Genomic DNA, 25,058 nt, shown 5'->3' with positions numbered 1-25,058 from the left:
GCTGATTGAGCCATTGCACTCCAGCCTGAGCAACAGAGAGATACGCTGTCTCAAAGGAAATACAAATTAAAAAACCAGCCGGGCATGCTGGCGTGTGCCTGTAGTCTCAGCTACTTGGGACACTGAAGTGGGAGGATCGCTTGAGCCCAGGAGTTCAAGGCTGCAGTGAGCTATGATTGTGCCACTGCAGTCCAGCCTGGGCGACAGAGAAAGACCCTGTCTCTTAAAAAAAAAAAAATCTTAGATAAGAGGATGCTGTGCCTCCCTGGGGGTCTTCAGTCACCCATAGTCCTGGCAAGAGAGGAGGGCCAGGAGAGAGCTTCACCCACCTGCTGTCCTGCCCATGTGACATCCGCAGGTGCTGCCATGGCCACGACTGTTGTTACACTCGAGCTGAGGAGGCCGGCTGCAGCCCCAAGACAGAGCGCTACTCCTGGCAGTGCGTCAATCAGAGCGTCCTGTGCGGTGAGTCCCCAGCAGCACCATGCCACCCACCCCGAGTATCCCCTGGGCATCCTGGCATAGCCAGATGACTTCCGTGCCCCTGTTGCAATAACCACTGCTTCCAAGTCTCTATAGACCACCCCTTGGGTATATCTAATGTAAGTGATATTTATTTTATTTATTTTTTGAGTCAGAGTCTCGCTCTGTCACCCAGGCTAGAGTGTGCTGATGTGATCTTGGCTCACTACAACCTCTGCCTCCTGGGTTCAAGCGATTCTCGTGCCTCAGCCTCCCAAGTGGCTGGGACTACAGGCATGCACCATCACGCCCAGCTAATTTTTGTATTTTTTCAGTAGAGGTGGGGTTTCACCAAGTTGGCCAGGCTGGTCTCAAACTCCCCACCTCAAGTGCTCTGCCCGCCTCGGCCTCCCAAAGTGCTGAGATTACAGGCGTGAGGCATGGTGTCTGGCCCTAATGTGAGTGATCTTTAACAATGAGGACTTGAAAAAGAAAACCATGAAGAAACCTAATTATTTGATGTCTGGACGACAAGGAAGAAGATAGAAATGGCATCAGATAATAAACAGTGTAAATGTTTATCAGAAAGAGGCTGGGGGTGGGGACCAGAAGGAGGATCGCTTGAGGCCAGGAGTGCATCTCTACAAAAAAGTTAAAGGATTTTTTTAACATTGGCCAGGCGTGGTGGCACACATCTGTGATCCCAGCTACTTGGGAGGCTGAGGTGGGAGGATCGCTTGAAGCCCAGGAGGTTGAGGCTGCAGTGAGCTGTGATCGAGTCACAGCACTCCAGCCTGTGTAACAGGGCAAAACCCAGTCTCAAAAAAAAAAAAAAAAAATTTTACCTAACCAACCACTTCTAAAGATATATAAAAAAAACCCTGCAATTAAAAATCTCAGGTCCCTCAGGCAATCCTACAAGATTTTGAAACAAAGCAATAACATAAGGACTGTAGTATTTATTTTATTTTTATATTATTTATTTATTGTTTGTTTGTTTGTTTTTGGAGTGTGGGTTTTTTTGTTTGTTTGTTTTTTGATTTTTTTTTGTTTTTTTTTGAGACAGAGTTTTACTCCTGTTGCCCAGGCTGGAGTGCAATGGCATGTTCTTGGCTTACTGCAACCTCCACCTCTTGGGTTCAAGTGATTCTCCTGCCTCAGCCTCCTGAGTAGCTGAGATTACAGGTGCCTGCCACTACACCTGGCTAATATTTTTGTATTTTTAGTAGAGATGAGGTTTTGCCATGTTGGTCAGGCTGGTCTTGTACTCCTGACCTCAAGTGATCCACCCGCCTCAGCCTCTCAAAGTGCTGGAATTACAGGTGTGAGCCACTGCATCTGGCCGTGGTATTTATTTTTAAGATTCCATTTTGGGCCGGGTGCTGTGGCTCACGCCTATAGTTCCAGCACTTTGGGAGGCCAAGGCAGGTGGATCACTTGAGGCCAGGAGTTTGAGAGCAGCCTCAATGGTGAAACCCTGTCTCTACTAAAAATACAAAATTACCCTGGTATGTTGGTGCATGCTTGTAATCCCAGCTACTCGAGAGTCTGACGCAGGAGAATCACTTGAATCCAGGAGGCACAGGTTGCAGTGAGCCGAGATCGTACTCCAGCCTGGGCAACAGAGTGAAACTCTATCTCAAACAAAAACAAAAAGAAATAGATTCCATTCTGATGTATGGCATTTTCCATTTATAGTTTCCCTTCAAATAAATAAGAAAGCTAAAACAATGAAAACAACTAGGAAGTGAGTAATGGTACAGGGAGAATGCAGATAAGGCTTGAGTTTCGGCAGCGAGACTCAAAGTTATCTGAAGAGCTAGTCATGATCCAGACCACTAGTTCCATCCCTTTTTTTCTATTTTCTGTTACTTGAAAATAGACATAACAGGCTCGGCGCTGTGGCTCACTCCTGTAATCTCAAGACGGGCAGATGGCTTGAGCCTAGGAATTCAAGACCAGCCTGGGCAACATGGTGAAACCCTATCTCTACAAATAATATGAAAACTAGCACGGTGTGGTGGTGTGCACCTGCAGTCTCAGCTACTTGGGAGGCTGAGGAAGGAGGATCACCTAAGCCCAGGGAGGCTGAGGCTGTAGTGAGCCAAGATTGCACCACTGCACTTCAGCCTGGGCAACAGAGTGAGAGCCTGTCTCAAAAAAAAAAAAAAAAAAAAAGAGTAAAGAAAAAAAGAGGCTGGGCGTGGTGGCTCACACCAGTAATCCCAACACTTTGGGAGGCTGAGGTGGGCGGATCACGAGGTCAGGAGTTCCAGACCAGCCTGGCCAACATGGTGAAACCACGTCTCTACTAAAATACAGGTGGGTGCTTTTAATTCCAGCTACTAAGAAGGCTGAGGCAGGAGAATTGCTTGAATCCAGGAGGTGGAGGTTGCAGTGAGCCGAGACTGCACCATTGCACTCCAGCCTGGGCGACAGCGTGGGACTCTGTCTCAAAAACAACAACAACAACAAAAAGAAAATAGACATAACACAAAATTAACTATGTTAAAGTGTATAATTCAGTGATACTTAGTATATTCACAATGTCATCCAACCACCACCTAAACTTTTTCATCACTCTGCCTCGAAAAATCCCTTTCCCCTTAAGCAATCCGTTCCCATTCCTCCCTACCACCAACACCTGGTAAACTTACCAGGTTACCAGTTTTCTATCTCTGGATTTACCCTGTCTAGATATTTCATATAAATAGAATCATACACTATGTTCCTGGCTTCTTCACTTAGTATAATGTTTTTGAGATTTGCTCATTTTCTTTCTTTTTTTTTTTTTTTTGACACGAAATCTCACCTGTCACCCAGGCTGGAGTGCAGTGGTGCCATCTCGGCTTACTGCAACCTCCGCCTCCCGGGTTCAAGCGATTCTCCTGCCTCAGCTTCCTGAGTAGCTGGGATTACAAACGTGCACCACCATGCCTGGGTAATTTTGGTATTTTTAGCAGAGATGGAGTTTTACCATGTTGGCCAGGCTGGTCTTGAACTCCTGACCTCAAGTGATCTGCCTGCCTCAGCCTCCCAAAGTGCTGTGATTACAGGCGTGAGCCACCACACCCATCCTGTTCATGTTGTATTAATAGCATGTGTCAGTACGTCATTCATTTTATGGCTGAATAATATCCACTGCATGGATAGATCACATTTCGTTTATCCATTCATTCAATGATGGGCATTTGGGTTGTTTCCACCTTTTGGCTTATGTGAATAGTGCTGCTATGAACATTCATGAACAAATACTTATTTGAGTACCTGGTTTCAATATTTTGGAGTATATACCTAGGAGTGGAATTGCTGGGTCATACGGTAATCCTGTTTTACTTCTTTTGTTGAGACAGGGTCTTGCTCTGTCACCCAGCTTGGAGTACAGTGGCATGATCATGGCTCACTGCAGCCTCAAACTCCTGGGCTCAAACTATCCTCTTGGCTCAGCCTCCTGAGTAGCTGAGACTATAGGTGTGTGGCACGATGCTGGGCTAATTTTTTTGAGACAAAGTCTCACTTTGTCGCCCAGGCTGGAGTGCAGTGGCACGATCGTGGCTCACTACAACCTCTGCCTCCCAGGTTTTAGCGATTCTCCTGCCTCAGCCTCCTGAGTAGCTGGGATTTCAGGTGCCCGCCACCACGCCCAGCTAATTTTTGTATTTTTAGTAGAGACTGGGTTTCACCCTGTTGGTCAGGCTGGTCTCAAATTCCTGACCTCAAGCAATCCACCCACATTGGCCTCCAAAGTGCTGGGATTACAGGCATGAGCCACTGTGCCTGGCCAAGTGCCCAGCTAATTTTTAGCCTTTTTTTTTTTTTTTTTTTTTTTTGAGATGGAGTCTCACTCTTTTTGTCCAGGCTGGAGTGCAATGGCGTGATCTCGGCTCACTTCAGCCTCCGCCTCCTGAACTCAAGCTATTCTCCTGTCTCAGGCATGCACCACCACGCCCGGCTAATTTTTATATATTTTTTAGTAGAGACGGGGTTTCACCATGTTGGCCAGGCTGTCTCGAACTCCTGACCTCATGATCCATCTGCCTTGGCCTCCCAAAGTGCTGGGATTACAGGCGCGAGCCACCACGCCCCGCCATTTTTAAACTTTTTGTAGAGATAAGTTGCCCAGGCTGGTCTCAAAATCTTGGCTTCAAGCAATCCTTCTGCCTGTCTGCCTCTGAAAGTGCTGGGATTGCAGGCATGAATCACCATGCCCAGTTAAGAGTTCTTTATATACTGTGGATACTGACTCTTACCCGATATGTGATTTGCAAATATTTTCTCCCATTATGTAAGTTGTCTTTTCACTTCCTTGATAGTGTCTTTGCACAAAACTGTTTAAGTTTGATGAAGTTCAATTAATCTGTTGTCTTTTGTTGCTCGTGTTTTTGGTGTCCTTAGAATCCACTGCCAAATCCAAAGTTATAAATATTTACCGTTAAGTTTTCTTCTAATAGGTTTATCATATTTAACTCTAATATTTAGGTCATTGATCCATTTTGAGTTAATTTTTGTCTACGGAGTGAGGTAAGGGGTTGAACTTTATTCTTTTGCATGTTGTTATCCAGTTATCTCAGCCCTCTTGGTTGAAGAGACTCTTCCCCATTGAATCATCCTGCTACCTTTGCTGAAAATCACCGCCAGGAGTGGTGGCTCACACCTGTAATCCTAGCACTTTGGGAGGCTGAGGCGGATGGATTGCCTGAACTCAGGAGTTCGAGACCAGCCAGGGCAGCACGGTGAAACCCCATCTCTACTAAGATACAAAAAAAAATTAGGCGGGTGTGGCAGCATGCTCCTGTAGTCCCAGCTACTCAGGAGGCTGAGGCAGGAGAATTGCTTGAACCTGGGAGGTGGAGATTGCAGTGAGCAGAGATTGCACCACTGCACTTCAGCCTGGGCAACAGAGCAAGACTCCATCTCAAAAAAAAAAAAAACAAAAAAAGAAAGAAAAAGAAAATCACTTGGCTCTAGATGGAGGAGGATTTCATCACTTTGAGCTAATAATTTGACTTCTCTTAACCCCAGCTTCCTTACCTGTAAGATAGGTGTTGTGAAGATGAGAAAAGATTTGTAAGATGAGAAACAGATTTTGTTTTTGTTTTGAGATGGAGTCTTGCTCTGTCGCCCAGGCTGAAGTGCAGTGGCACGATCTCTGCCCACTGCAAACTCTGCCTCCTGGGTTGAAGTGATTATCTTGCCTCAGCCTCCCAGGTAGCTGGGATTACAGGCCCCTGCCACCACACCCAGTTGATTTTTGTATTTTTAGTAGAGATGGGGTTTCACCATGTTGGCCTGGCTGGTCTCAAACTCCTAACCTCAGGTGATCTGCCCACCTCGGCCTCCCAAAGTGCTGGGATTACAGGTATGAGCCACCATGCCCAGCTGAGAAACAGATTGGATGGGAATTTTTCTTCTATCTCCTCCTCCTATCTTTATCTGAACTTCTCTCTGACCCCTGCTAACTCCTGGAGAGAATCAAAGATCTGTTCCAACTCTTGATTAAAACTCCAGGTTCTGCTGACTTGGTCTGCTCTGGTGGCAAAGAGGCTATTGTAAGCGTTATTAGAAGTATGTTTTTATTTTTATTTATTTTTTGAGACAGAGTCTTACTCTGTAGCCCAGGCAGGAGTACAGTGGAGTGATCTCAACTCACTGCAACTCACTGCCTCCCAGGTTCAAGTGATTCTCATGCCTCAGTCTTCTGAGTAGCTGGGACTAGAGGTGCACACCACCATGCCCAGCTAATTTTTTTGTATTTTTAGTAGAGACAGTGTTTCACCATGTTGGCTAGGCTCGTCTTGAACTCCTGATCCATCCGCCTCGGCCTCCCAAAGTTTTGGGATTACAGGCACGAGCCACCGCGCCCGGCCTACTTGAAGTATGTTTTTAGATCTTCAGCTATATATTCTTACTACGGATTAGAACTTGGCATAAGAGCAAAGCTGAATTAATATGATGATATAATCAATTTTTAGGCCTGAACATGCCCCAGGTATCTATCATCTCATCCAACCCTCTCATTTAGAGTTGGGGAAACTGGCTGGGCATGGTAGCTCATACCTATAATCCCAGCACTTTGAGAGGCCAAGGCAGGAGGATAGCTTGAGCCCAGGAGTTCAAGACCACCCTGGCAGCATAGAGAGACCCCATCTCTACAAAAGACAAAAATAAAGGGGAAACTGAGGCTCAGGGAGAGTAAGTGACTTATTCCCAAAACTGCCCCCTTCTGGTGTGGGTGATGAGGAGGTGAAATGAGGCTTCAGTGGGAAATCTGTTGAAAATCTTTCCTTTCTCCCTTCAACTTGCCTATTCTGCTTGCTCCTACCCAGGTGAAAATGATATTTATAAAATATTGGTGTGTCTGTTGGTAGAGTCTGTGCCTGTTTACAGAACTGTCTTCTCTGAACCAAATGAAAGGAACTAAAATATCTATTATGCATTTTGGACTAAAAATATTATCTTATTCTGTTTGGAGATATTCTGAACATAGTTGTTTATTTAATTACAGGTTTGGCCCATTTTCCATTTATGGGCCTGACTTAAATATATTAAAAAAAATTTAAACCTATAATAATATTTACTAGCAGGCCTTAATTTTAAACTTAAGCCTCGGGAGCTATTCTTCCTTTCAAATTTTTATTCTTCTTCAAAATGTGATGCCATCGGGTTCCTGAGATCATGGAGCAGTGGGGCCAGGTCTTGCTGTTGGCGGAATCTTTGTTGCTCAAGGAGAAAAGTAAGAGGACAAGCAGAGGCGTTGTTGGGTCAGGAGACCCTGGGCTGGAATCCTGGTCCACACCTTCCCAGTTCTGTGACCTTGGATGAGTTACCGAATTCCTGTAAGCCTCACTTTCCTCATCTGTAAAATGGGAATAACAGACCAGAGTTGCTGGGGTTGTGTGAGCATTGGAGATTGTATATGGCTTTGCTTTTCTTTTCCCTCCTCTCCCCTCCTCTCTCTCTCTCCCCCCTCCCCCTTTTCTTTTCTTTTCTCTTTTCTTTTCTTTGAGATAGAGTCTCACTCTGTTGCCCAGGCTGGAGTGCAGTGGTGCTATCTCAGCTCACTGCAACCTCCACCTCCCCGGTTCAAGCCATTCTCCTGCCTCAGCCTCCCAAGTAGCTGGGACTACAGGCGCACCACCATACCCAGCTAATTTTTTTTTGTATTTTTAGTAGAGACGGGGTTTCATCATGTTGGCCAGGCTGGTCTTGAACTCCTGACCTCAAGGGATCTGCCCACCTCAGCCTCCCAAAGTGCTGGGATTACAGGCATGAGGATGAATGGCTTTTCTAAGGCTTTTCTCTGGTCTGTCAACAAATATTACTGTGAGTCTACTCTGCCGGGCTCCATGCTAGGTTTTGGGCAAGGCAGAGCCACGAGGTATTGTTAAAAAGGAGGAGACAGGGAAGTAGTGTGTGCGCCAAGTGCTTTGTAACTATTGTGTTGAGAGATAAAGCAGGTGAATTACTATACCTGCTACAACATGGATGAACTTTGAAAATATGATGGGCTGAGTACGATGGCTCCCACCTGTAATCCCAACACTTTGGGAGGCCAAGACAGAAGTATCACTTGAGCCCAGAAATTTGAGACCAGCCTGGGCAACATAGCGAGACCCTGGCATAGTAGCGCATGCCTGTAGTTCCAGCTACTCGGGAGGCTGAGGTGGGAGGATCACTTGAGCTCAGGAGGTCCAGGCTGCAGTGAGCCGTGATCATGCCACTGCATTCCAGCCTGGGTGACAGAGTGAGACCCTGCCTCAACAAAAAAGGCCGGGCACAGTGTCTCACGCCTGTAATCCCAGCACTTTGAGAGGCTTAGGCTGGTGAATCACTTGAGGTCAGGAGTTCGAGATCAGTCTCGCCAACATGGTGAAACCCCGTCTCTACTAGAAATATGAAATTAGCCGGTCGTGGTGGCAGGTGCCTGTAATCCCAGCTATTCGGGAGGTTGAGGCAGGAGAATTGCTTGAACCTGGAAGACAGAGAGGTTGCAATGAGTGGAGATCATGCCACTGCCCTCCAGCCTGGGCGACTGAGTGAGACTCTGTTTCAAAAAAAAAAAAAAAGAAAAGCAAAAAGAAAGGAAGAAGAAATACAGCATCGAGTGAACAGAGCCAGACATAAGAGGTCATGTATATAGGCTTTCTGTTGCTATGTTAGGAATACAAAAAAGAGGTCACGTATATCATATGACTTCATTTATATGAATTGTCCAGAATAGGCAAATCCACAGAAATAGAAAGTAGACTAGTGGTTGCTGGGAATGCAGAAGAGTGGGAACGGGGAGCGAATGCTTAAAGAGAGTTGGGTTTCTTCTGTGGTGACCATCTCGATCTGTCACCCAGGCTGGGTGCAGTGGCATGATCACAACTCACTGCAGCCTCAAAATCCTGAGATTAAGGGATTCTCCTGCCTCAGCCTCTCAAGTAGCTGGGACTACAGGCACGTGCCACCATGCTGAGCTAATTTTTGTATTATTATTATTATTATTATTTTTTTTTTTTTTTGAGGTGGAGTCTTGCTCTTGTTGCCCAGGCTGGAGTGCAATGGCATGATCTCGGCTCACTGCAACCTCCGTCTCCCGAGTTCAAGTGATTCTCCTGCCTCAGCCTCCCTAGTAGCTGGGATTACAGGCATGTGCCACCACACCTGGCTAATTTTTGTATTTTTAGTAGAGATGGGTTTTCTCTATGTTGGCCAGGCTGTTCTTGAACTCCTGACCTTGTGAACTGCCCGCCTCGGCCTCCCAAAGTGCCGAGATTACAGGCACGAGCACCACGCCCGGCCTGTATTTTTTGTAGAGATGGTGTCTTGCTATGCTGCCTAGGTTGGTCTTGAACTCCTGACCTCAAGCAATCCTTCTGACTCAGCCTCCCAAAGTGTTGAGATTACAGCCCTAAGCCACCATGCTCAGCCTGGGGTGATAACAGTGTTTTAGTACTAGATAGGTGCCCAGCATTGTGAAGGTACTAAATGCTACTGACTGTACATTTTAATATGGTAAATTTTAGGTTGTGAGAATTTTGCCCCAATAACAAAAAGCAGGAGTGCATGGTGAGGATTTCTCTGTTACTGAGAGTGGTTGGGGTGAGAGAAAGTCTCCCGGAGACACCAATGAAGCAGAGACCTGAGGAACAGAGGAGACAGCCACGTGGAGGTGATGCAACAGCCAGTGCAAGGGCCCTGGGGTACGCACAAGTGTCTGGGTGGTCTGAGGATCACAAGGAGTTCGGTGAGGCTGGAGCAGAGTCCCCCAGAGTGACAGAAGTAGGGGATGATGTCGGAGAGTGATAGGGGCTAGATTCCTAGGGCATTGGAGGCTCTTCTCTGAGAGAGATGGGGAGCCAAGGAGGGTTTTGAGCAGGGGAGGGACATGACCTGATTTGCATTTTTTTTTTTTGAGACAGTCTTGCTCTGTCACCCAGGCTGGAGTGCAGTGGTGTGATCTCGGCTCACTTCAACCTCTGCCTTTTGGGCTCAAGCGATCCTCGCACCTCAGCCTCCTGAGTAGCTGGAATCACAGGTATGTGCCACCATGCCCTGCTAATTTATGTACTTTTAGTAGAGATGGAGTTTCACCATGTTGGCCAGGCTGGTCTCAAAATTTCTGACCTCGGGTGACCCACCTACCTCGGCCTCCCAAAATGTTGGGATTACAGGCGTGAGCCACCACACTCGGCCTTGATATGTATTTTAACCAAACTACTCTGGTTGCCATATGGTACAAACCCAGGAGAGGGAAAGGGTGGAAGCTGGATGTGGCTATCAGGCTGTTGCAGTGGTCTTGGAGAGAGGTGGCTTGGGCAGGGGGTGGCAGTGAAGATGGTGGAAGGGGCTGGCTTCTGGACAAATCTGGCTGGATGGAACTGCAGGAGTTGCCAGTGGATGGGTGAGGGTGTGAGGGGAAGAGGAGCTGGCTGGGGTATTTGTCCCCGTCGCCCTGTAGCTGACCACTCTTCTGTCCTTGGACAGCCGGCCTTCAGCCAGCCCTGTATGCCACCCTGGGGCTATAGCCAGGAAGCTACAGTGGCTCCTTCCTCAAGAGTCCCCTCCCCACTACATCATATTTCTCTGAGGGTTTCTGTTGTGCAGCAGCCCATGGAAAGCTTACAGGCAGGAAGGCTTGTTCCTGCACTGGCTGGTTCTATGACTAATTTTCGCACATATTATGTTTATCCATTCATCTGTCTCGCCATCTATTCATCCATTATCCATTCACCTATCATCCATCTATCCATCCATCCATCATCCATCCATTCATTCTTCCATCTATCCATCCATCCATCCATCCATCCATCCATCCATCCATCCATCTATCCATCCATCACCCATCCATCCAATTTCCATCCATCCATCATCCATCCACCCATCTTCCATCCATCCACCCACCATCCATCTATCCAGCCATCCATTGTCCATCATCCATCATCCATCCATCCATCCATCCATCCATGGGGAGTGCCTGCTTGAGGGGAATGGGGTTTCTTCTGGGGTGATAAAAATGTTTTAGAACTCCGGGCGCAATGGCTCACGCCTGTAATTTAGGAGGCTAAGGCGGGCAGATCACGAGGTCAAGAGATTGAGAGCATCCTGGCCAACATGGTAAAACCCGGTCTCTACTAAAAACACAAAAATTAACTAGGCGTGGTGGTGTGCGCCTGTAGTCCCAGCTACTCGGGAGGCTGAGGCAGGAGAATCGCTTGAACCCAGGAGGCGGAGGTTGCAGTGAGCTGAGATCGTGCCACTGCACTCCAGCCTGGCAACAGAGTGAAACTCCGTCTCAAAAAAAAATGAAAAGTTTTAGAACTAGATAGATGCCCAGCATTGTGAATGTACTAAATGTCACTGACTTGTACACTTTGAAATGGTACATTTTGTGTTGTGAGAATTTTGCCCTGGTAACAAGAAGCAGGAGTGCATGATGAGGGATCCATCTATCCCACCATTCATTCAACCATTCATTTGCATACTTTTTCTGATTCAAACCCAATACATGTTTGTTATGAAAAATTAAAACATTCCAGAAATATTCTTTTGAAAATTTTTACTTATTATTTATTTCAGTAGCCTTAGGGGTACAAGTGGTTTTTGGTTACATGGATGAATTGTATAGTGGTGAAATCTGAGCTTTTAGTGCACCCATCACCCAAGTAGTCTACATTGTACCCAATACATAGCTTTTTATCCCTCCCCACCTCAGTCTCCAATGTGTCCGTTATACCACTCTGTATGCCTTTGTGTACCCCCCATAGCTTAGCTCTCACTTATAAGTGAGAACATACAGTATTTGGTTTTCCATTCTTAAGTTTCATCAGTTAGAATAAGTGACGTAACTTCCTTGCAATCCCTATCAAAATACCAACATCAATTCATCCAAGTTGCTTCATCCAGCTTCATCCAAGTTGCTGCAGAAAACATTTTGTTCTTTTTTATGGCTAAGTAGTATTCCATGGTGTATATGTAACCACATTTTCTTTTCCTTCTTTTTTGAGAAGGAGTCTTGTTCTGTCACCCAGGTTGGAGTGCAGTGGCGTGATCTTGGCCCCCTGCAACCTCCACCTCCTGGGTTCAAGCGATTCTCCTGCCGTAGCCTCCCAAGTAGCTGGGACTACAGGCATGCGCCACCACGCCTGGCTAATTTTTGTATTTTTAGTAGAGATGGGGTTTCACCATATTGGTGAGGCTGGTCTTGAACTCCTGACCTCGTGATCCGCCCACCTCGGCCTACCAAAGTGCTGGCATTATAGGCGTGAGCCACTGCACCCAGCCACCACATTTTCTTTATCTGCTCATTGGTTGATGGGCACTTAGGTTGGTTCTATATCTTTGCAATTGTGACTGTGCTGTGATAAACAAATGCGCGCACGTCTTTTTGATATAATGATTTATTTTCCTTTGGGTAGATACCTAGTAGTGGGATGGCTAGAAAGAATAGTAGATTTACTTTTCGTTCTTTGAGAAATCTCCATACTGTTTTCCATGGAGGTTGTGCTAACTGATCTTAGCACCAGCAGTCTAAAAGCATTCTTTTTTCATCACATTCAGGTCAATGTCTATTTTGACTTTTCAATAATGGCCATTCTGGCTGGGGTAAGGTAGTATCTCATTGTGGTTTTAATTTGCAGTTCCCCGATGACGAGTTATGTTAAACATTTTTTCATTTGCTGGTCATTTATATATATTTTGAGAAATGTCTATTCATGTCATGTGCCCACTTTTTTTTTTTTTTTTTTTTGAGTCTTGCTCTGTCACCTAGGCTGGAGCGCAGTGACATAACCTCAGCTCCCTGCAACCTCTGCCTCCCGGGTTCAAATGATTCTCCTGCCTCAGCCTCCCAAGTAGCTGGGATTACAGGCATGAGCCACCACACTAGGCTAATTTTTGTATTTTTAGTAGAGACGGGGTTTCACCATGTTGGCTAGGCTGGTCTCGAACTCCTGACCTCATGATCTGCCCACCTTGGCCTCCCAAAGTGCTGGGATTACAGATGTGAGCCATCGTGCCTGGCCATGTGCCCACTTTTTGATGAGGTTTTTTCTTTTCTTCTTGCTGATTTGAGTTTTTTGTAGATTCAGGATATTAGTCCTTTGTCAGATATGTAGTTTGCAAATATTTTCTCCCATTCTGTGGGTTGTCTGTTTACTCTGATGATTACTTCTTTTGCTATGCAGAAGCTTTTTAGTTTAATTAAGTCCTATTTATTTATTTTTGTTTTGTTGCATTTGCTTTTGGGGTCTTAGTCATAAATTCCTTGCCTAGGTCAATGTCCAGGGGAGTTTTTCCAAGGTTTTCTTCTAGAATTCTTATGGTTTCAGGTCTTAGATTTAAGTCTTTAATCCATCTTGAGTTGATGTATATGGTGAGTTTTGTAGATGGTGAGAGATAGGGATCCAGTTTCATTCTTCTACATGCAGCTCTTCAGTTTTCCCAGTACTATTTATTGAATAGGGTGTCATTTCCCCAATTTATGTTTTTGAGTGTTTTTTTTTTTTTTTTGAGATGGAGTTTCACTCTTGTTGCCCAGGCTGGAGTGCAATGGTGCAATCTCAGCTCACTGCAACCTCCTCCTCCCGGGTTCAAGCGATCCTTCTGCCTCAGCTTACCAAGTAGCTGGGATTACAGGCATGTACCACTACGCCCAGCTAATTTTGTATTTTTAGTAGAGACGAGGTTTCTCCATGTTGGTCAGGCTGGTCTCAAACACTGAACCTCAGGTGATCCGCTTGCCTTGGCCTCCCAAAGTGCTGGGATTACAGGCATGAGCCACTACGCCTGGCCTTGAGTGCTTTGTTGAAGATCAGTTAGTTGTACGTGTTTAGCTTTATTTCTGGGTTTTCTATTCTGTTCTGTTGGTCTATGTATCTACTTTTATATTAGTACCATGCTGTTTTGGTTACTATAGCCTTGTAGCATAATTTGAAGCTGGGTAGTGATGCCTACAGATTTTTTCTTCTTTTCTTTTTTTTTTTAGATGGAGTCTCTCTGTCACCCAGGCTGGAGTGCAGGGGGCATGATCTCAGCTCACTGCAACCTCTGCCCCCCAGGTTTAAGTGATTCTCCTGCCTTAGCCTCCCGATCAGCTGGGCTTATAGGCACACACCATCATGCCTGGCTAATTTTTGTATTTTTAGTAGAAATGGGGTTTTACCATGTTGGCCAGGCTGGTCTCGAACTGACCTCAGGTGTTCCACCCACCTCGGCCTTGCAAAGTGCTAGGATTACAGGCGTGAGCCACTGTGCCCAGCCTATTTGGCTCTTTTTTAGTTCCATGTAAATTTTAGGATTGTTTCTTCTAATTATGTGAAAAATGATGTTGGTATTTTGATAGGAATTGCATTGAATCTGTAGATTGCTTTGGGTAGTATGGTCATTTTCATTACATTGATTCTTCCAATCCATGAGCATGGGATGTATTTCCATTTGTTTGTGTCATCTATGATTTCTTTCGGCAGTGTTTTGTAGTTCTGTTTGTAGAGATCTTTCACCTTCCTGCTCAAGTATATTACTAGGTTTGGGGTAGCTATTTTCCTTTTTTTTTTTCCAGCTATTATAAAAGGGACTGAGTTCTTGATTTCATTCTCAGCTTAGTCCTTATTGATGTATAGCAGTGCTACTGGTTTGTAACCTGAGACTTTATTGAATTCATTGGTCAAATCTAGGAGTCTTTTGGAGGAGTCTCTAGGATTTTCTAGGTATATGATTGTATCATTGGCAGAGGTAGTTTGATTTCCTCTTTTCCCATTTGGATGCCCTTTATTTCTTTCTCTTTCCTGACTGCTCTGGCTAGGACTTCCAATACTTTGCTGAATAGAAGTGGTGAGAGTGGGCATCCTTGTCTTGTTCCAGCTCTTGGGGGAATGAATGCTTTCAACTCATCCCCATTCAGTATGATGTGGGCTATGGGTTTGTCATCTATCACTTTTATTATTTTGAGGTATGTTCCTTCTATGCCTAGTATATTGAGGAGAAGTATGTTTCTTTAAAAAAAATATTATTATGGGCTGAGAGTGGTGGCTCGTGCCTGTAATCCCAGTACTTTGGGAGGCTGAGGCAGGTGGATCACTTGAGCTCAGGAGTTCAAGACCAGCCTGGCAATATGGCAAAACCCCATCTCTACTAAAAATACAAAAATTAGCTGGGCATGGTGGTGGGCCTGTAGTCCCAGCCACATGGGAGGCTGAGGTGGGAGAATGGCTTGAGTCCAGGAGGCGGAGGCTGCAGTGAGCCACAACCTTGCCACTACACTCCAGCCTGGGTGACAGAGACAGACCTTATCTCAAAAAATAAATAATTACTATTATTATTTTTAAATAAAGGAATCCCCAAATGAAGTCGTGTAATATCAGGCCAGGCATGGTGGCTCACGCCTGTAATCCCAGCACTTTCGGAGGCCGAGGTAGGTGGATCACCTGAGGTCAGGAGTTCGAGACCATCCTGGCCAACACGACGAAACCCTGTCTCCACTAAAAATACAAAAAAAATTAGCTCGGTGTGGTGGCCTGTGCCTTTAGTCCCAGCTACTTGGGATGCTGAGGCAGGAGAATCACTTGAACCCGGGAGGCGGAGGCTGCAGTGAGCTGAGATCATACCACTGCACTCCAGCCTGGGCGACAGAGCAAGCCCCCATCTCAGAAAAAAAAAAAAAAAAAAAGAAAAGAAAAAAGAAATCGTGTAATATTGATGCAGAAGAGCAGTATGGCAGACTTTGGACTCTCCATTTGAAACTTTCAATTTCCTTTTCTGTAAAATGGGGCTGACATCACCTGCTTCCTGGGGAGCCCTGCAGATGGAGATCACGTGGTGGGCTGTCAAGTGTCTCAGAAATGTAATTTATGACCCGTCCTGCCTCTTGCTTTACTGGTTTCCCTTGAGTCTCTCCAGGTCCCTGCTCTAATCTCAGTTTCCCCACTTCTTCCAGGACCGGCAGAGAACAAATGCCAAGAACTGTTGTGCAAGTGTGACCAGGAGATTGCTAACTGCTTAGCCCAAACTGAGTACAACTTAAAGTACCTCTTCTACCCCCAGTTCCTATGTGAGCCGGACTCGCCCAAGTGTGACTGACTACCTTGACTTGAAATGCTCTTTTGCACAAGGAAATAAAGCGTCCTCTCAGTAATGAACAACAGCATTCAGTTATTTGCAGAAGGGAACCGAAGCCAAGTGATAAAGCCACAACCTTGTGTTTGCTTTCCCTCCCAATCCCAGAACTCAGGACTGGAGCCCATGTGGTTTGCAGTTAAAGGCCAAAAGTCCTGCACCTATTTTATAAAACTATGACTGTGTTTATCACTGTGTTGGGGTCGGTTCCATTTTTGAGGTTCCATCTTTATGAAAAGATAACCTGTCTTCTAACCTGCTTGGATGGCTGGTAGTCAAATGTGAACGAACACCTACCGTGTGCCTGGCCATGTTCTATGTTCTAGGCTGCAGCAATCAACAAGATGGCCATACAACACCCACCCGGTGAAGTTCAAGTCCAGTAGCTGTTAGCTTAAGAAAGAGTATTCCCTTATCCCACTACACCTTAAAATGTATTTGCTGTCCTGCAGCGTTGGCTCATTTCTGTAAGCCCAGCACAATGATTACAAAAGTGGTACATACTTGTTGCTTCTTAAAAAAATGAAAGTGCAGAGAAATATAGAGCAGAAAGAAAAATCACTCCAATTCCCACAATTCAGAATAATCTGTTAGGATCTATAGTTTTAAAAATGTAGTTCAAGGCCGGGTGCTGTGGCTCACGCTTGTAATCCTAGCACTTTGCGAGGCCAAGGCACGTGAATCACAAGGTCAGGAGTTCGAGACCAGCCTGACCAACATGGTGAAACCCCGTCTCTACTAAAAATACAAAAATTAGCCAGGCGTGGTGGCACGCGCCTGTAATCCCAGCTACTCAGGAGGCTGAGGCAGGACAATCACTTGAACCCAGGAGGTGGAGGTTGCAGTGAGCAGAGATTGTGCCACTGCACTCCAGCCTGGGCGACAGAACAAGACTCTATCTCAAAAAAAAAAAAAAAAAAAAAAAAAAAAGGGTAGTTCAGATTATACTGTATGATGTTTATAAACTTTTCTCCATGTCATAAAAAATCTTTGGAAACTTCATTTAAAATGTCTGTGTTAGGGTTGGATGAGGTGGCTCATGCCTATAATCTCAATACTTTGGGAGGCTAAGGAGGGAGGACTACATGAGGACATGAGTTCAAGACCAGCCTGGGCAACAGAGCAAGACTCTATCTGTATAAAACAAAAAAAATTAGTAAGGCATGGTGGCATGCACCTGTTGTCCCAGCTACTCGGGAGGCCGAAGAGGGAAGATAACTTGTGCCTAGGAGTTCAAAGTTGCAGTGAGCTATGATTACATCACTGTACTCCAGTCTGGGCAACAGAACAGGACCTTGACGCAAATAAATAAATAAATAAATATCTGTATTAGATACCATTTTATAGATTGACAGTTTTTGGATATTGGAGCTATTTTCTGTTTCCATTAGTTGCTTGATGAGGATGCTTGTAAATAAATCTTCACCACTCCCTTCCCCATAACCTATTCCTTAGCCCAGATTTGCAGAAATGGCATTTTTGGATCAAAGGATCTGAATATTTTTTGAGACAGGGTCTCCCGCTATCACCTAGGCTGGAGTGCAGTGGTGCAACCTCAGCTCATTGCAGCCTCGACCTCCTGGGCTCAGGCAAATCTCACTTCAGCCTCCCAGGTAGCTAGGACTACAGGTGCGTACACTCACATCTGGCTAGTTTTTTTATTTTTAGTAGAGATGAGGTTTCCACATGTTGTCTAGGTTGGTCTCGAACTCCTGGGCTCAAGTGATCTGCCCACTTCAGCCTCCCAAAGTGTTAGGATTACAGGTGCGAGCCACCACACCCAGCCGGGTCTGAGTATTTTATTTTTATTTTGCATTTTTCGGAGACAGAGTCTCACTGTGTCGCCCAGGCTGGAGTGCAGTGGGGCAATCTCGGCTCACTGCAACCTTTGCCTCCCGCGTTCAAGCGATTCTCCTGCCTCAGCCTTCCGAGTAGTTGGGATTACAGGTACTGCCACCACACCCAGCTAATTTTTTGTATTTTTTCCCCCTGAGATGGAGTCCTGCCCTGTCGCCCAGAGCTGGAGTGCAATGGTGTGATATCGGCTCACTGCAACCTCCACCTCCTGGGTTCAAGCAATTCTCCTTCCTCAGCCTCCCAAGTAGCTGGGATTACAGGCACACGCCACCACACCTGGCTAATTTTTGTATTTTTATTAGAGATGGGGTTTCACCATGTTGGCCAGGCTGGTCTCGAACTCCTGACCTTGTGATCCACCCTGCCTTGGCCTCCCAAAATGCTGGGATTACAGGTGTGAGCCACTGTGCCCTGCCAATTTTTTGTACTTTTAGTAGAGATGGGGTTTCACCATGTTGGTCAGGGTGGTCTTGAACTCCTGACCTCAGATAATCCACCCACCTCGGCCTCCCAAAGTGCTAGGATTACAGGCATGAGCCACTGCATCCAGCCTGGACTATTTTAAGACACCCCCTTTAGATGTACCCATCCTGCTATGATTGGTAAGAAGAGGTAGAGGCAGCCTGTGGCCCCTGATCTGAGTGTGCCCGTCCCTCCTGCTGGTGATAAGGAGTAAGGTCCTGCCCAGCCTGTTTGCTCTACGCCATGGCTTTGCCCCAGTCCCTGAGCAAATCTGGGTATTACTCATCTTTGAAGCAGGGTGTGGGAGCAGGTGGCGACAATGTGAGAGGCCATGGGGTGGAGGTGGATGGCCCAGGCCCAGCTCTGCCAAAGCCAGCCAGCGCCAACTTGGTGTTTTGCCAGCCATCCTCCATCTATTCACCTGTAAAGGATACTGGCAACCCCTGGGTGGCATGAGACCAGGGATATGCAAACACTGCCATGTGAGTGTCCATGGGAGGTCACAAGCATTAAATAGGTAAAGTCAAGCAACCCTGGGGCTTGATGTGCAAACACGAGCAGGAAAAAACCCATTTTCCCTTAGGGTGGCTCCTCGGCTCAGTATCTGCGTCAGGCTGGGGGATTTAAGCATGACTAGACTGACTAGATGACTTTTTTTTTTTTGAGACGGAATCTTGCTCAGTCACCCAGATGGAGTGCAGTGGCATGATCTTGGCTCAATGCAACTTCTGCCTCCTGGGTTCAAGTGATTCTCCTGCCTCAGCCTCCCAAGTAGCTGGGACTACAGGTGCGCACCACCGTGCCTGGCTAATTTTTGTATTTTCAGTAGAGACGGGGTTTCACCATGTTCGTCAGGCTGGTCTTGAACTCCTGACCTCAAGTGATCCATCCACCTTGGCCTCCCAAAGTGCCGGGATTACAGGCGCGAACCACCACGCTCGGCCCATGGCTAGAAGATTCTATCCGGCAATGCAGAAGTTTTGTGTTTTCTAGACAATTGCTTTTTCTCTACATATAGGTTTTATCTATATAGAAATCTTTATTTTTATTTCAAGTAATTTCTTCGAACTTCCAGATGCAACTTTTGAGTAAAATTTTCACTCAAAGATACAAAGGGTTAATGAATGGTTCATGGAGTCACAAGATAATATTTTGGATGTAGGCCTATTTCTGCAAGGCCTGTCTTCCAAGATGACATCTCACACCTGCTGTGTTCACACTGGAAGGAAATAAAAGGCCATAGTTCACTTCATGCCATATTTATAACTATAGCGCTTGGTGTAATTATACCTGCTGTATTATACATCAGGATAGGACAATAAAGATTATATAGTGTGAGCTCAATTTACAAAACATTTCCTTGAACAAAACGACTATCCCGGAATTTATTTTACAGATGATTTTTTTTTTTTTTTTAAGACAGAGTCTCCCTCTGTCACCCAGGCTGAAGTGCAGTGGTGCAGTCTCCCTCCCTGCAACCTCCGCCTCCTGGGTTCAGGCGATTTCCAATTCCAAGTAGCTGGGATTACAGGTATGTGCCATCACACTTGGCTAATTTTTGTATTTTTAGTAGAGATGAGGTTTCACCATGTTGGCCAAGCTGGTCTTGAAGTCCTGGCTTCAAGTGATCCGCCTGCCTCACCCACCCAAAGTGCTGGGATTACAGGGGTGAGGTATCACCAAAACAATTCTGAATAACATGAAGGCCACTAAATCTAATGGGAACTGCCCGACATCCCTCTCAATCTCTCCATTCAGAGAAAGGGATCCAGACCTTCAATGATTTCCATAAAGCAAAACAAAAGCCCAGTGACTACAAGTCTAACCATCATTCTAGGCTCAAACTGAATCCTTTGAGTTTTACTCTGAATCCTAGCAACTCTTCAATAAGACAGAATTGTTGATTGAATTTTGGGTTTTCTTCGGTATTTTTTATGTGCAACTCTCTATGCCTATGACAGAATCTTATCCTTGTTTTCCTAAACTTGACTTAGAGGACAGGCCAGGCCCCAATAAACCTGGTCTCAGGCTCTGAGATCCGGATCCTCTGTCAGTCACTGAGGTTGGGGAGGGGACTGATGTGGCACCCTTCTGATGTCACCCACACCATGTCCACTGAGGACCCTGAGTCTTGCCAGCCGTTGGGGACTGAGCCTCCTAGTCCCTGTGAGGAAGGTGGCTGGGTGGGAAGGGCTGCTGCTGTGTCAGCCAAACAGACAATCCTCCCTGTGCGGATGTCAGTCCTTGCTCGTGCCACCCACAGGCTGAGGGGGAGAGGACATGGTTGGAGCTTTTGATATACAAAGCAGCACCTTGTTTTACTGAGGGTAGAAAATAGGAAGTCCGCTCCCTGCCTCACCCCTCTTAAGCATCAAAGCTCAGACGTCAGCGGGACTTGAAGAGTCTCAGCCTGGGCAGTGCCAGTCACAACACCTGGGTTTCCAGCCGCCGGAGTTCCTTGACCACAAGATCAATGTTAATAATTGGGTTAAAGTACAGGGCCCAGTAAAACAAACAGTTGCAAACAAACTGAGGGATGAGGGGCCAGAACATGGCCACAAAAAGCCCCTGCGTTGATACTTTCCAGAAATGGCTCCACATCCTCTGAGGCACGGTCCTGAAACAAGAAGAGAAGAGGCTGAATCGGAGGCGCTTCTCATGACCACACCCAGGAGTCCGGGCCCTGGGCCTTTTCTGGGTGCTGGGAAGAGCATGGCTGCCCGTGCTGAATGTCCTTGTCTTCTGTCCCCGGTGCCTGAGACCTCTGCCTACTCAACCCATCTTTTAACTCTCAAGGACATGACCTACAGGGAGCTTCTTTGCCCCCACACTGGGCAAGGCCTCCCTGTGACAGCCTCAACTTCACCTGCTTCATCACTTTGTTACATTTACATATTTTTTTTTCCTTTTGAGACAGGGTCTCATTCCTTTGTCCAGCCTGGGAGTGCAGTGGTGCAAATGTGGCTCAACTGCAGCCTTGACCTCCAGGTCTCAAGTGATCCTCCTGAGTAGCTGGGACCACAGGCACACATCACCACATCTGGCTAATTATTATTATTATTATTATTATTATTTTAAGTAGGGACAAGGTCTCGCTATGTTACCCAGGCTGGTCTCAAACTCCTCGGCTCAGGTGATCCTCCACCTCAACCTCCCGAGTAGCTGGGACTACAGGTGTGCACCACCACGCCCAGTTAATTTTTTGTATTTTTAGAGACAGGTTTTGCCACGTTGCCCAGGCTGCACTTGAACTCCTGGTCTCAAGCAATCCTCTCACCTCCCAAAGTGCTGGGATTACAGGCATGAGCCAAGGTGCCTGACCATCTATTTTTTAACGTACATATTTTCTTTGCTAGGCTGTAGGGCCTCACACTATAGACTGTCTTCTTTACCAAAAGATCTGCCATGCCCAGGAGAGAACCAGGAGTACAGTAGGGGCATAAATATGCATATTGTATATAAATAAGTGAGTTTGCTAAATGGAAAGAAATGAGGGAGATTCTTTTTTTATTTTTACCTAGTGAGTCACCATTGGAAAGGTGAGGGAGATTGTTAGGTTCTCAGAACCATTCATAAGGCTGCGAGTCAGAATGTCAAGGTAAAAGGCTGCAAGGGTGGCAGTGTTACTTCTGCCTGTCCCTTTCTTCTGGAAATAGCTTCTAAGTTTTTGGGGGTTTTTTGAGATGGACTCTCGTTTTGTCGCCCAGGGTGGAGTGCAATGGTGCAATCTTAGCTCACTGCAACCTCCACCTCTCTGAGTTCAAGCGATCCTCCTGCCTCAGCCTCCCGAGTAGCTGGGATTACAGGCACCCACCGCCACGCCTGGCTAATTTTTGTATTTTTGGTAGAGATGAGGTTTCACTATGTTGGCCAGGCTGGTCTCGAACTCCTGACCTCAGGTGATCCACCTGCCTTGGCCTCCCAAAGTTCTAGGATTACAGGCATGAACCACTGCACCTGGCAACAGCCTCTAAGTTTTGGGGATTCTCTCTCCTTTGTTCTTTTCCATGTGGTCTGGGTAGGGCTGAAACCAGCCTCTGGTTGTGGGGTGAACTCATGCCTCAAGCCTGGGTCCATCAGAACAAAGGCATGTGAGCCCTGAGACCTTTTCCAGTGCCACAGGGAAGGAAGTGCTTTCTTTCTGGAGGTTTGTTAAGCTGCACAGATCAAAGTCTGGAGTGGAGAAGACAAGGGCCCCCACATGAAGAGAGATGCCTGAGGCAGAAAACACAAGAAAGAACAGTGCTGTGAGGGACAGAGAAAGAGTCAGTACTGGTGACAGCGTTTGGGTCTCAGGGTCCAGTCATGCTTGAAGCCTAAGTTATTATTATCCTAGTTGGTTACAGATCAGGATTAGAACTCATGCCTACAGAATTTCCCATGAGATCTCTTTATGCTCTACCTTACTGCATTTTCTATAAAGCACCCTGTGGAGGCCAAAGCAACTCTATATTGGATGCTAATCTGCCATATTGACTTCTCACTAACTCCGGTTTGGGGGAAGCCTCTAAGATCTCTGGTTTTATCTAATGTTTCTTGTGTAAGAGCACGTACATCACGTAAATCCTGCCCTTTGGTGAAACAGCCTTGATGTTCTCTTACTTACCATAGATCCCGACCCTAAGCAATTGTTCTGCACATCCCTTCTGAAGCATGTATGCCCCTTCCCTATGTATACAAGCCCTGAGTCTGGGGATCCACCATCTTGTCTCGCTACCATCCAAGACACAGACAGGGCTTCTGTTGGCAAGGCCTTATTAAGTGTTTCTTTCTGAGAAACTGAATTTGCCAGCTTCTTCCTTCAGCCCCTCAGCTTCCTCTGATTTAGGGGATAGGTTTGCACAGGCCTGCCTACCTTAAAACAGACCCTTTTCTATTCAGTTGCTTATTCCTTGATTATTACAATCCTTTGCCCCCCTCCCCCTGAAATTAAATGGTATATTATTGCATAGAGATAAGACATATAGGAAAATACTTTTAACAATGAGCACCACAACCCCCACCCCCAAAACACAGGTAATTGTCCTATTCACTGCTTAAGCTAGGTTTCTCAAAGCAGAGTCTGAAGGGTCTGGGTGGATGGAGGATTTATTTCAAGTGTGAGAAATAAAAGAGGATCTTTCTCTCACTTGGTATTTCTTTCCCATCCCCTGTTGTGACAACCATTAAAACATACTTACTTCAGTTCACTTCTCGACCAGATTCTCCAAAAGGAGAATAATTCCAGAACTGAGAGTAACATAGCATTGATGATGAGAAACCGTGATGTCCAGTAATGGACCTCCAACCAGTCCCAAGCAAACTCAGCAATCAGCTGGTATGGAAGGAAGGAGTATTTGACCAGGAACTCTCTCCACTGCTTCCACGTAGGCTCCTTAAGATCCTTAAAAAATAACACACAGACGCAAAAAGTCATGAGGACTGACTTTTACACAAAATATTGTGATGATCAGGCTAGGCACGGTGGCTCACACCTGTAATCCCACCACTTTGGGAGGCCTAGGTGGGCGGATCACCTGAGGTAAGGAGTTCAAGACCAGGCTGGCCAACATGGTGAAACCCCATCTCTACTAAAAATTCAAAAATTGGCCAGACGTGGTGGTGTGTGCCTGTAATCCCAACTACTCTAGAGGCTGAGGCAAGAGAATCACTTGAACCCGGGATGTGCAGGTTGCAGTGAGTTGAGATCGCACCACTGCACTTCACCCTGGGTGATAGAGGGAGACTGTGTCTCAAAAAAAATTGTGATGATCACAGTGAGTTCTACATTGATTACCACACACACACACACATCCAACAATCTAAAATGAAATTTCCATCCATCAACTCATCTTGTAATTGTTTTTTTTTTTTTTTTTTTTGAGACGGAGTCTTGATCTGTTACCCAGGCTGGAATGCAGTGGTGCCATCTCGGCTCACTGCAGCCTCCACCTCCTGGGTTCAAGTGATTCTCCTGTCTCAGCCTCCTGAGTATGTTCTCGTACTTACCATAAATCCCGACCCTAAGCAATTGTTCTGCACATCCCTTCTGAAGCATGTATGCCCCTTCCCTATGTATACAAGCCCTGAGTCTGGGGATCCACCATCTTGTCTCGCTACCATCCAAGACACAGACAGTGCTTCTGGGATTAAAGGTGTATACCACCACGCCCGGCTAATTTTTGTATTTTTAGTAGAGACGAGGTTTTGCCATGTTGGCCAGGCTGGTCTTGAAACTCCTGACCTCAGGTGATTTGCCCGCCTCTGCCTCCCAAAGTGCTTGGATTATAGGAGTGAACCACCGCACCCGGCCGTAATTAATCTCAAATTAAGTAAATGTTAGCAAAAAGGTTGAAATGAAATGCTTGTCATATAATTGTGGAAGCTCAGAAAAAAAAAAGCATGAATTATGAATACATTGAAATAAATTTAAATTAACCAGTTATTCTCCCATCAAGCTACCCAAATGGTAGCTTGAACCATTTCCTAAATTCAACATTGGCTATGGTAGAATAATGGTAGTTTCTGGGAAAATTACAAACACTCCCTCCTCCCTCCAAAAAAAGGTAATTTTTTTTGTGATGGCAGGAGGAGAAGCTTTTCAATTACACATATTAGCAGATAAAAAATTAGCCTGATGATGGCCAGGTACAGTGGCTCACGCCTGTAATCCCAGCACTTTGGGAGGCTGAGGAGGGCGG

General features: G+C 46.0%; 2 protein-coding genes across 10 annotated transcripts in view, besides 1 other annotated feature; one reads left to right on the top strand and one right to left on the bottom strand.

The window, feature by feature from the left end:
* The window catches only part of PLA2G10 (phospholipase A2 group X), a 29,303-nt gene extending 13,221 nt beyond the window's left edge, over positions 1–16,082 (top strand). For 2 of the 7 annotated variants that reach the window (XM_047434757.1, NM_003561.3), the window contains 2 exons: positions 359–465; positions 15,881–16,082. In XM_047434757.1, the coding sequence (XP_047290713.1) occupies positions 359–465; positions 15,881–16,023 (250 nt within the window). In that variant the 3' untranslated portion in view covers positions 16,024–16,082. Of the gene's footprint in view, positions 1–358; positions 466–4,941; positions 4,965–5,024; positions 5,173–9,473; positions 9,837–9,869; positions 9,986–15,880 lie in introns of those variants that run through there. The other 5 variants (NR_133651.1, XM_011522697.3, XM_011522695.4 and 2 more) reach the window with 5 other exon arrangements.
* Positions 613–1,113: an enhancer, noted in NCBI's record as "H3K27ac hESC enhancer chr16:14781374-14781874 (GRCh37/hg19 assembly coordinates)". NCBI's record gives its function as "activates a minimal SCP1, AML or CMV promoter by ChIP-STARR-seq in primed H9 embryonic stem cells {active_cell/tissue: H9 hESC(primed)}" and the evidence as "EXISTENCE:reporter gene assay evidence [ECO:0000049][PMID:30033119]".
* A 3,311-nt stretch (positions 16,083–19,393) lies between the features above and the next one.
* Positions 19,394–25,058, bottom strand: part of BFAR (bifunctional apoptosis regulator) — a 36,286-nt gene continuing 30,621 nt past the window's right edge. For all 3 annotated transcript variants that reach the window (NM_016561.3, XM_005255350.3, NM_001330500.2), the window contains 2 exons: positions 23,559–23,761; positions 19,394–20,995 (listed from right to left, as the gene is read on the bottom strand). In NM_016561.3, the coding sequence (NP_057645.1) occupies positions 20,803–20,995; positions 23,559–23,761 (396 nt within the window). In that variant the 3' untranslated portion in view covers positions 19,394–20,802. The remainder of the gene's footprint in view (positions 20,996–23,558; positions 23,762–25,058) is intronic.

Source organism: Homo sapiens, chromosome 16 (genome assembly GCF_000001405.40).
Source record: "Homo sapiens chromosome 16, GRCh38.p14 Primary Assembly".
NCBI classification, from domain to species: Eukaryota; Metazoa; Chordata; class Mammalia; order Primates; family Hominidae; genus Homo; species Homo sapiens.
The sequence above is the reverse complement of the archived record's forward strand: the minus strand, read 5'-3'. Positions and strand labels throughout refer to the sequence as shown.